This window comes from Homo sapiens, chromosome 11 (genome assembly GCF_000001405.40).
Source record: "Homo sapiens chromosome 11, GRCh38.p14 Primary Assembly".
Taxonomy (NCBI): Eukaryota; Metazoa; Chordata; class Mammalia; order Primates; family Hominidae; genus Homo; species Homo sapiens.
The window spans coordinates 78,683,312-78,695,710 of record NC_000011.10 but is presented as its reverse complement, the minus strand read 5'-3'; the positions used below and the strand labels follow the sequence as shown (position 1 = coordinate 78,695,710).

General features: G+C 45.8%; 1 protein-coding gene across 10 annotated transcripts in view; it reads left to right on the top strand.

Moving 5' to 3' along the window:
* TENM4 (teneurin transmembrane protein 4) overlaps positions 1-12,399 on the top strand; it is a 788,202-nt gene that overhangs the window by 745,320 nt on the left and 30,483 nt on the right. For all 10 annotated transcript variants that reach the window (XM_047426739.1, XM_047426737.1, XM_047426736.1 and 7 more), the window contains one exon: positions 7,485-7,657. In XM_047426739.1, the coding sequence (XP_047282695.1) occupies positions 7,485-7,657 (173 nt within the window). The remainder of the gene's footprint in view (positions 1-7,484; positions 7,658-12,399) is intronic.

The window sequence follows — 12,399 nt, the reverse complement described above, 5'->3', positions numbered from 1 at the left end:
CCAGAAGACAGAAGTGCTGAAAGAAAAAAAAAAAGAAAAACTGTCCACAGCCAGGTGCAGTGGCTCACACCTGTAATCCCAGCACTTTGGGAGGCCGAGGCAGGTGGATCACCTGAGGTCAGGAGTTCGAGACCAGCCTGGCCAACATGGTGAAACCCCACCTCTACTAAAAATACAAAATTAGCTGGGCATGGTGGTGCGCACCTGTAGTCCCAGCTACTCGGGAGGCTGAGGCAGGAGAATCACTTAAATCCAGGAGGCGGAGGTTGCAATGAGCTGAGATGTGCCATTGCACTCCAGCCTGGGCAGCAAGAGTGAAACTCTGTCTCACAAAAACAAACAAAAAAAATTGTCCACTCAGATATTATACTCAATAAAAATATCTTTCAAATGAAGACATGTTATAGAGGTATAGGGAGGGGTAAGGGAACCTAGAAAGGATGCTAATAGCCTGGGCAACATAGAAATACCCATCTCTACCAAAAAAAAATTTAATTAGCTGGATGTAGTGGCACACACCTGCAGTCCTAGCTACTCAGGAGGTTGAGGCAGGAAGAGCACTTTTCAGCCCAGGAGTTCAAGGGTGCAGTGATCGATAATCACACCACTGCACTCCAGCCTGGGCAACAGAGTGAGATCCTGTCCCTAAGCAAATTAATTAATTAATTAAAAATAAAAATAAAGGACGCTGAGGCACCCAGGCACTAAAAACAGTGAATAGCCATTACCAACCCCCAGGCTGCAGAGCAAGGTGGGAAAGTTGAAGGATATCATGACTGAAGTCCAGTGGGAGCTGTAATGATGAAGGAGAAGCCCCCTAGTTGAAGCTGAAATCATGGATCCACGCAGCCACTGTTAGAGATTCGGCACTGGAGGAAAGAAGGAGTGAGGAGTGAGGAAAACCTTCTGAATTCCAGTCTCTTGCCCGTGCCTACCACGGACTTAGCTTAACCAGAAGTGAGCCAGCCAGAGTGCCCCAGTGACACAGTCTGCAGGGGTCAGCTGCTCTGGGCAGAGAGAGGACAGAGAATGGATCTGGGAGGTAGGGGGAACAGAGAATAACCAGCACAGAGACTGACTGGCTGTGTGACATGTTAGCCATGAGTCGCCAAGCCAGGGTTCAGCCCCAGATCTGCCTGAACCCTAAGCAGTTCCCACCAGAGGCACCACCTCAAATACAGTATGGCAGAGTGGGCCAGATCTTGGGAATCCTGAGGGCTAGAATTCATTTTGGGTACTTAATTTTGTAGGAAATGGACAGCAAGTACAAGGTTTTAATGCAGAAGCCACAAAGTGCTCTGGCTCTGATCCAGTTTTGGAGTAGCTAATGATGTCGTGATGACATCTATTACAGTGACATGGGCCAGGGGAACTATTGGTGTGCCTGGGCCAGGAACCATAATTATCCACAGACAATACAGTGCCCAGTTCCCTGACATGGTGATGGTGTTGTTTGAAACAATCAGAAATGAAAGTCATACAAATCAAATCTTATTTTTTAACCGAAAAGTTAAGATCAGCAAAAGTTTAGTATCAGAGGGCAATTCGGCGTTTTCCTTGCCAGCCATGCATAGTAAGTGGCTCGAGATGAAGTATTGAGTGTGAAAAAGAAAGCCTTGCAGTGTGTGTGAAGATGTCCTTTGACAATCCTCTTCTGAGAGCCAAGTTCACAGCAACTATATGAATCATTTTTTTTGAGATGGAGTCTCACTCTGTCGCCCAGGCTGGAGTGCGATGGTGCGATCTCGGCTCACGGCAACCTCTGTCTCCCGGGTTCAATCAAATCTCCTGCCTCAGCCTCCCGAGTAGCTGGGATTACAGGCACCCAGCCACCGTGCGTAGCTAATTTTTATATTTCTAGTAGAGACACAGTTTCACCATGTTGGCCAGGCTGGTCTCGAACTCCTGACCTCAAGTGATCCACCCCCCTTGGCCTCCCAAAGTGCTGGGATTACAGGCGTGAGTCACTGCGCCTGGCCTATATGAATGTTTTATGTGTTTTCTTTCACTGTGCTCCAAAGATGCTTTGGATAAATGGAATGAAGAAAAATCAGTGGGAGGAAATAATGAAAAGCCAGTCATCTGGTCATCCCTATCATACCCCCAACTGGGGGCTTGGCATCGCTGCAAAGTCAATTGCAGTGGTAGCAAGCAAAGCGTCCTGAAAATAAAACAACTGCCAGTCTTCTTGACCCACCTGAGACTTGGGAAAACAGTGTTTTCTATATACTGCAGTGATGAACCCAAAGATTTTTATTTGAAACAGCATCATTTTTATGGGAAGCTTGATGAATAAAACACATTATTTAAGATTAGACAGACCTGACTTTGAATTTATATTCCTCTACGAGCTGTGTGATCTTAGGCAAGTTGCTTATCCTCTCTGAGCCTCCTCTTCACCATTTGTGAAATGATGATAATAATAATGCCTACATCAGAAGATGATGATGAGCATGATGCTTGGTACCTAAAAGGTACCACATGAATATTAGTGACCTTTCTCCACCTCATTTGGACAAGGAAAGGCAAAACAAATGAATTTCTTCGTTGCTCTCAGCCCATGTCTTGAATCAACAATAATATCTATTATTTACTTATATATTTATTCATTAAGTAAACATGTACTGAGTACTGTCTACCTGCTGGGTACTCCTCTGGGCACTAAGAATACAGACAAGGTCTCTGTCCTCATGGAGCTTATATTAGGAGGAGACAGAAAACAAAGAACAAATAAATAATAAGTATAGTGAGGTCAATAAGAAAATATGATACAAAGGTTGGGGGGACTTATCTGTCTTAGAAGCGGTGGTCAGGGAAGACCTCACTGAAGTGATAACATTTGATCTGAAACATGATTGATGACAGGAACAAGCCATGCCAACACTGGAGGGAAGAGCATTCCCGCAGAGGGAACGGGAAGCATGAGCACCCCAGCATGCACTGACTTTGGCATGTTTGGGGACCAGAAGCAGATACAGGGAGAAGAAGGACGTGCTGAGAGTGACGTTCCAGGTGAAGTCAGAAAGAAAGGCAGGAAGGAGCCAACATTCAGCCAACATTCATTGACACGAGGAAGCACATGCTATATGCCACACACTCTAAGCTACAGGGATACAGCAGGGTCCAAATGAAGTCCCTGCCCTCAGGGAGTTGACATTCCACTGAGGGCAATCTCCTGGGGTCCTGGGGGCCCTGGGAAGAAGTTTCCCTTTCATTTTAAGTAGGTTACCTCTTTTGGTCTTCATGTGTCTCTATGAAACAGGATTATTATCCCCATTTATAGAAGAGAAAACAGAGGCTCACCGAGGTTATATGATATAGCCTGCCTGAAATTGTATCATTTGTGGTGGAGACTTGATAGTTAGGAGGAACACAGAGCCAAGTGCCCGTCCTCTAGATCACATTACTGGCAAGTGTAGAGCCAGGATGCAAAGCCTAGACTATCTGGCTCCAGAGACCTTTTTAAAAAACTATTCATTTCATTCCTCTTGGTTAGAAAGAAAGAAAATTTGCCAGTACTTTGTGGGTTCCCATAATGAAAACTGTCACAAATGTAACTAAGCCATTGTCCAGATGCCACCTAATCATGGGGCCGGGACTTGAGGCAGCCACTTGGAGCCCAGGGAGTTCAGAGAACTGCCCCTTCCAGGTCCCTGCTCTTTGTTGTGGCAGCTCTGTGGTGGAGAAGAAAGGGTTCTGTAGAGGTGGCTCACAGGGCAAAGGTGTGCGGGGCCCAGAGGACTGGCAACCCTACTTCTTCCCATCCACAGTCAGAAGGAGCAGTTCTGGTGGGATAATTACAGGTATCAATCAAGCAGCAAAGAGATCCAGGTCATTTCCCAAGCTCTGGAAGGTACTACAATGAATGAATAGGAGACAAGAAAATTTTATAAATTGGTTGCTCTATATGATGTTCATTTCATTAAGACATTCAGTCCTTCTAATGGAAAATGTGAAGAGTGGAAATTACTGTTTTTTTGACCCTCTCATATAAAATGAAAACCAGATCTTGAAGGTATGGGGCCTTTTCATTGTATCTTCTTTAGGATCAATGTAATTATGCCTTACAAGCTACCTTCAATAATAATTGCAATTGTCTGCCTTTATACAAAGCCTCTTTCTGTCTTCAAGACTAAAACTCTAGTGAGATACCTAGGGAGATTGCCAAAGTGTTATTTAGTAAGAGTTGTTTTTTCCATATTTTGGCATTCAGCAAGTGTTTATCATGTACCTACTGTGTGTCCAGCTTGTGCCAAGTCCTGTAGGAGGGAATGTGTGAATGAATCATGGTGTCTCCTCTCCCACAAAGCAGGAAAGAGGACTTGCACATCCAATCCTGCATTCATTTATTTGTTCAGCCAACATTCCCTGCCGGTCCTCTCTATGCCAGTTCCAATGCTGGTGAAGCAGAGATGAACTGAGAGCCAGTCCTCCAGGGTCACGCTGCTGGCAGGTGGCAGAACCCAGGTGGTGTCAATCCACAGACTCCACAGACCTGTTCTGACCTCAAGCACTCACAGTCCAAAGAGGGGGACGACTTGTACATCAACACTGCAGTGCAGGGGAGGCATTCTAGGACAGAGCTGTGCACAGGATATCACTGGGAGAAGGGACAGGAAAAACCAGGGAGGGCTTTAGGAGGTGGCATTTGAGCAAGGCCATGGTAGGAGTGGTGTCAAAGTGACATCTGACTCCTAATTAACAATCTATCAATTCTTATCTGTAAAACTCCACAAATGGCTTTGCAGTGTCTTGCATGGTATAATAAAATCTTTTTCATGTGGTTAGGTCAGGAAAATAGACAGTCCAAGTGAATAGTCTTATTTTAATAAAGAGTATGTACAGGGATTACAGGTGTTCAAAGAGTCAGCCTAGAACAGCATCCCCATCCCATTAAACTGCTGGACTGAAATGGATCTTCCTGTTGATTTAAAAGATGACTCAGGATCTGACCGGACCCAGCTTAATCATGAATCACAGATACAGTTAAGATGACCAGGGCAAAACCAGTTTTGGGGGTCTTGATTTTTAGCTCAAAAACTTGGAGTACCCTAGTAATATTTTGCTGAAAATGCCTGGAAATTGTTATCTTCAACTTGCCCTATAAGTGAGACTCCTATGCACAGCCTGGAATTTAAGGCATCTGCCTCCCCAGATGGCCATGCTCATGAGCTCTCACGTGTGGTTTTACCTTGCTTGTCACAACACTTTTCTGATTATGAAAATAATCCATGTTTATTATTTTTAAAGCATGGAAATATACATAAATAAGCAATTCAAATCACCTGTAATTCTACCTCCCAGAGATAACCACTGTCAATATTTTTGTATGTTTCCTTCCTATTCAAATTTCCAGTGGCCACAAATGGTTAAAAAGAATCCCAGCCTCTCTCAGAGTTGAAGGGAGCAGAGCTCTGAGAGGGTCTCCATGTGAGAGAAGTCTCTGGACATGCATCTCAGATCTTTACTCCAAGACACCCTCCTTCCTAGCCGCCGTCTCTCAGAACTACTGCTCACTTAGCTCTGCGAGGCAGTCCACCCCTTTGACCACCCATTCCAGGTTTCAGCCTCCCCTAGGCCAGACTGACCTTTTCCTGGCAGAACCTGACTCCGTACTAAGAAAGAGAAAGGAGAAATCATGGCAGGACATGGGTTTTTGAAGCCCCCAACCACCCACAGGAGAGCCTCTGATAGAGCCACAGCCTTGCCTGCAGCCCTGCCCAGGGAGTGTATTCGAGGCCACAGCACTGCCTGCCATCCTGAAAAGGCCCCAGCCGCAGAGGCATCCAACTTCCCCAAAGGCCACCGGCCCCTCCCCCAGAATTGATCTTAGGACAAAAACAGGGGTGATATATTCAGAAGACCTCTACCAATGCCTCCTCTGTGGCAGAGTGTGCCAGGGACTGTTAGATTCAGTGTAGAGTGCTGTGATCTGTGCCAGGCTCAGGCACGGAAACAGTTGGCAAATGGCAGAGTCTGTAGTGCAGCACCCAAGTCTGACCTTGGGCAGAGAATTCCTGAGCAAAGACCTGCCTAATCTCACCCACCAAGTCTCCCCTGATACCATAGGAGCTGCAGACCCAGGAATCCCAGCAAGAAGCCAGGCCCAGCTGAAGGAAGAGCCTGGACAGAGCTGAACTCTCTGACCTTTCATTGCCCCATTGTGAAAACCCTCACAGGAACCCAGGGGCCAGCTTTACCCCAGAGGTAAAAACAAAACAGTTTAAAAAAAAAAAGCCAGTAGGGAGACCTGAAGTACACAGGGGCAACCGTGTCCAGCAAGTCAGTCAGGAATATTGCCATGTAGAGGAAGAACTGTGTCCCCATTCACACACAAGTGCAAAAAGGCTATTTAAGCCTGCCTTTTTACACTTCATCCTCCCCTAATTAAAAACAATAATTAAAATGTTAATAGCCCACTCCTGCCAGGGAGGAGCGCATGTGTTGAATACTTGCAAATGGACGGTACAGAAATGTTCATTGAAGACAGAGAGGCAGGTGGCAGTTTGGAAGCAAATAGATCTGAGTTTGAATTTTGATTCTACCCACACTTAATTAGCTGTGTGACCTTGAGCAGGTGACTTCACTCTTCCAAGCCTCAATTTCTGATTCTCCAAAAAAGAGATAATACATACCTTTTAGACAAGGATTAAATGAGGATTACATGAAAAATGTATTAAATGAGGATTACATGAAAATGCATGAAAAGCAACTAGCACCATGCCTCGTATATTGGAGGTGTTCAATGATGGTAGGTATTTCTTTTATTATTATCAGGAGAATAGTAAAGAGAATTAAGATTCAATTATGATGCTTTAGAAAGACCATACCTGAGCAAAGCTGTGGGGGTTCTAAGAGTTGCAGTTACAAAAATGCTTAGTGCCAGATGTAAAATCTAGATGGAAGGGGTTGCAAGAGGCAAGACACCATTTATCTAGCTAAGTCCTGGTTTGAATTCAGAATCCCCTTTTCCCAGGATGTGTAGAAACCTAGGAAACCCCTGGGTAATAGCTCCCATTTCTAGTGTTTTTCAGGAAAAACCTGTATAACCAGTTCTTGCGGGTTTTGCAGAGGGTATTCAGGCATCAAGCTTGACTACATCATTTCTGGGGAGTCTCCCAGTTCTAAGATTCTGGGTCAGCTGTCTCATTATGGCCACCATCATCTCTCCCCCTCACAATTGAATTCTAGTTTATAGCTGTACTCCTGGGCAGTAGGCAGGTCAGTGTTATCATCCCCACTGGGTTAGGGAAGGGAGACTCAGAGAGGTCAGTTATTTTCCTGCAGCTGGATATCAGCAGGTGGAGTCACATCCTGAAATCTATGTACCAGGTCCTGTGCAAGATATGTGGGAGACATGGGAATGTATCCAGCCAGAAAGAAAAGCAGAGCACAGCAAAACCATGGCATGAGGTAGAATGCACCAAGTTCCAGCTAGAGCACCATTATATTTCTACTACTCAGTGCCACCCCTTGGTTTCCAGGTACGACAGCTTTGGCCGCCTGACAAATGTGACCTTCCCTACTGGCCAGGTGAGCAGTTTCCGAAGTGATACAGACAGTTCAGTGCATGTCCAGGTAGAGACCTCCAGCAAGGATGATGTCACCATAACCACCAACCTGTCTGCCTCAGGCGCCTTCTACACACTGCTGCAAGGTAAGTCAGGTGGGGGCCAGGGGACTTTGAGGCAGAGGGGTGGGAAGACCCCTTTGGAGGAGGATGGCACAAGAAATAGGCTGCTGCTGGAGCTGCCCAAGAACAGGAAAGCATTGCAACTCTCTGTATTATCACCTAATTTGCAAAATATACCAGCCTGAGTCAAGTAAATTCCCTCTCAGAAGCTTAAGAATAATATTTTATTGTCCTATCCTGTTATCAGAACAAAGGGTAGGGAATTCATTAGCTGCTAATCCAGGTGACCTCGCTATTCTGCCATCCTAATGACTCCCAGATTAACAGACACACTCACACTGGTGTAGGTGAGGACAAAGGACAAAAATAATTACGCATAATTATGAAAGGGATTTGATTATGGAGAAGTCCTTCCTGAAGCCCAGGTGAGAAGGTTTGTGCCTCTTCTAGGATTTCATAGAAAAGAGACCCTTCTTTGCATTTGTCAAATCATCCTGTTACGGGTTGGTCTTTTAGCTTCAAGTAAAAAGATTTCACAATGATGAAATCTTGCTGTTAATTATCTGCCTCAATTGTTCTCATGGGATGTGGTGACCCAGGTGGGCTTGCAGCTTTGTGGGATTTAGTAAACTTGAAAAGAAAGAAGCCATCACCAGGGAAAGCTCTGCCTGATTCTTTCCTGCCCGCTGGATGGCTCTTTGTACCTCCAAAGGCTTTCACACGAAGCAGTGAAAGGAGCCTCAGGGTAAGAGTCAGAAGCCCAAGTTCTAGTTCTGACTCTGCCACCACATCACCCACCGTGACCCTTGGTTTCTTCTCCAGGAAAAGAAAGCAAGCTGAAGCTGTGTGGAATGGGGTGGAGCAGTGAGAAGAGCAGGGGTTCTGGGTGGGCGATTTGGGGCCCTGTGCCCATCATGCCAGTTCCCACCTGTGTGAACTGGCTGGGGTCACTCTTCTTCTCTGAGCCTTGGTCTCTGGGTCTGGGAAAGGGGGCTGAATTTTAACACCTGCCCCACAGGGCTGCTCAGTCGATCTCTTTAGACAGTGTAGTGACTAGCATGAGCCAAGCACATACTATTGCTCAATAAGCAATACTATTGGATTCCTTAAGTAATTAATTAATTAGCAAGCAGTTTAACTTACCATGAGAAAATAAATGTCTGTATATTCTTACAACCACTTTTACTCCCAAATTTAGTCCTTTGCCTTTCAAAGAGCTCCAAGAACAATAAAGGTTCTCAAAGAAAGAGAAACCACACGCTGGAATTCCTTCTTCACCAAGCACCTTTAACCGTGGTTTTTGAGGAAAACTCAGTGTTTCGTCTGTTCTCACACAATAGTCATCAACAGAAGACTTCTGTGACCAAATATAGGCAGAGGTGGGGTTCTCCCCACCATGAAGCAAGCAATCAACTCTGCAGTGGACACCAGCTGGGTGTCCTTCAACTCAATTCCAACACTATCTACCTGGAGATGGCCTCAAATCCCACCGGTTGAGGGCTCAGTCCCCAAAACTGCCCCCCCAACCCCACCCCATCTATCATACTTCAGACACCAGTCACAAGTCTGGGCCTCTGGAACTTCTATCTGACTGGCTTCTAGTTGAGATTTTCATGACTGCTTCTTTGGGTTCAGTTAATTTACTGGAACAGCTCACAGGACTAGAGAAATACTTACATTTACCAGTTGATCATAAAGGACATTACCAAGGGTATAGACGAAGAGATGTATATGACAAGATATAGGGTAAGGGGCGTGGGGCTTTCACACCCTCCCCAGGCACATCACCTTCACCCCTCCATGGACCTCCGTATGTTCAGCTCCCCAAACTCTGTCTTCTTGGGCCTTTTAGGAAGCCTTCATTGGATAGGCATGATTGACAACCATGTAGAAATGTGATCGGACCCAGCAAGGCCTGTCTCTTCAGATTCTTCTTGGCCTCTCTGTGCAGCACTCATTCCTTCCTCCAGGGTATGGAGCAGGATCCCCTCTGAAAGTACGTCTTATGACCCACAGTCAGATTAGAGTCCTGCCTTGGAGAGGAGGGCAGGAGAAGGTCAGAGAGAGAGGCAGAGAGATTGTTTCCTAAGGCCTGCTTCTGAGTCCTGAAGTGCCTCAACATTAGAACCAAAGACTATGAGAAGGGGTATAGGAGTTATGAGCTGGGAACTGTGGATATATAATCATAATATCACAAGTGGGTTGGGACAGACCCCAGGGATTTATGCTCTGACTGGATTATTGCCAAGAGAAGGTACAATTTCTGAGGCAGCCAAGATCTTGCCTGACCAAGGACTGCAGGACCACCAATTACTCAGACATCTTGTCCTTCAGGCCTGTCTTGTTCCCTGTGATTAAGAATTATCCATCCATTCCATACTGCTAAACTGGCTGTGAGTATTTTTCTCAAAGGTTCATGTGGGCTTTCTTATATTTGGGCAACTTTTTAAAATTTGAAAGTGCCACATTCCTCAGTTTTTAAATGTATTCATCAATTTAATAACTTTTTAGGCAGAGGGAAAAAAGTCATACTGCTCAAAAGGCATACGTGGACACATTCCAATTTCAAAAAAACATTAAAATATGAAAAGAAAAATCACTTCTTGGAATCCAGGAAACATGGTACCTGTTTTTCCTCTTTGGTAGCTCTGCCAAGCTCTTTCCTTCTTGAGTACCAGGCTCAGATGCTCAGTTTTGCAGCTGCCTCACTAGAGTCTCTGTGAAAAGCTCTTTCGGTTTCATCTTCTGTTTAAACTGTGGAAAGTAATAAGAAGTAGCTGCTAATGAGCAGCGGCCTTGGGAAGTCACAGCCCACATTAAATGGGATCATCTGAGATGGGCCTCTACAGATGCTGTTCCCTCCAAGTCACCATTAATGGACATATGTGGATTCAGCAAGGAGCAGCTTTAAAGGATAAATTGACACAGGCTTTTTCACTGTTCAAAGGCAGAAAAATATAGATTGTCAGTGAATAATGCATAGCAAGTTTGAGGCAGATTTTAGAATTTTTGCATGTGTGAGAGAGAAAGATGGAGAGAGGAGGGAGTGGGGGGGGCCTGTTTGAAGCCATTCTAGCAGAAAATATTCAGTGAGGGTTTCCCATGAAAACTATTGCTTAATAACTATCTTTAGTTCTTGACATAGCCTGGAACATAACTAGTTTCATCCAGCAAAAATTTACTGAGCACATATAATCCTAACGATGATGATAGCTAACATTTTTGGAGCACTTATTAACTGCAAAGCATATTTTCAGCATTTTACATTAAGCAGTACCTCATAAGGTACCTCATATAGTACCGCATATGCCTAGGAGGTAAGTATTATTGTCTCTGTTTTCTGCATGAAGGCAGTGAGAAGCACTCGGAGGTTAGGTAGCTTGCCCCAGTCACACACCTAATTGGGTGTTTGGACCCAGGCAAACAGGCTCTATAGAACCTATTCTCTTAACTGCCAATCTAAAGACAAGGGGCCCTATTCCAGGACCATGGTCAGCACTAGAGAAGTTCACCATGATGTGTGTGTGTGTGTCTGTGTGTATGTGTGTTTGTGAGAGAGAGAGAAATGGGATGGTGGAGATAGAGGAGAGACAAGAGACACACATGACAGTGACTAGCACAGTGCCAGGCACATAAAACCAGTGACAGCTAACATTTACATAACACTATATGCCAAGTACAGTTCTCAGCTCTTCATATTCATGATCTCACTCAATCCTCAGAGCATCCTGCAAAGCAGGGTACAATTATTGTCCTAGTGTACTGATGAAGTACCAGAGGCATGGAAGGTTAAGAATTTGGCCAAGGTCTTACAGCAAGGCAGCCACAGAGCTGGAACCTGAGCTGAAGTAGCCTGGCTGCAAAGCCAAGCTCCTAATCTCTGTGCCATAGTGCCTCTCACAGCACGCACTCAAATATTGGAGAATTTGTTCATTAACGGAGCAGTGACTCCCACACCCCTCAGCTGCAAGACCACTGAGGAGGCCCATAGAAAGGCTGAGGGGTGTACAGGACAGGGAGTCATACATTCTGGCCAGTGGAACAGGGGAAGCTTCTGGAAAGAGATGACATTTTAGCAGAGCCTGGAGGGAGTCTTAAGCCAGCACTTACTGAAGACGGGGGCAGTGCAGAGGAAACAGCCAAGGAAGGGCCAGAGACAGGAGAGTGCAGCACAAATCCAGAGATAGTATTTTCATCTATAGAAAGAAACTCTATGTGTATTTTACAGCTGAAATTTGCTTTTTTCACCGTAAGTTTCATTTAGTTAAGAATCTAGGGAGGAGCCAAGATGGCCGAATAGGAACAGCTCCGGTCTACAGCTCCCAGCGTGAGCGACGCAGAAGATGGGTGATTTCTGCATTTCCATCTGAGGTACCGGGTTCATCTCACTAGGGAGTGCCAGACAGTGGGCGCAGGCCAGTGTGTGCGCGCACCGTGCGCGAGCCGAAGCAGGGCGAGGCATTGCCTCACCTGGGAAGCGCAAGGGGTCAGGGAGTTCCCTTTCCGAGTCAAAGAAAGGGGTGACGGACGCACCTGGAAAATCGGGTCACTCCCACCCGAATATTGCGCTTTTCAGACCGGCTTAAGAAACGGCGCACCACGAGACTATATCCCACACCTGGCTCAGAGGGTCCTACGCCCACGGAATCTCGCTGATTGCTAGCACAGCAGTCTGAGATCAAACTGCAAGGCGGCAACGAGGCTGGGGGAGGGGCGCCCGCCATAGCCCAGGCTCGCTTAGGTAAACAAAGCAGCCGCGAAGCTCG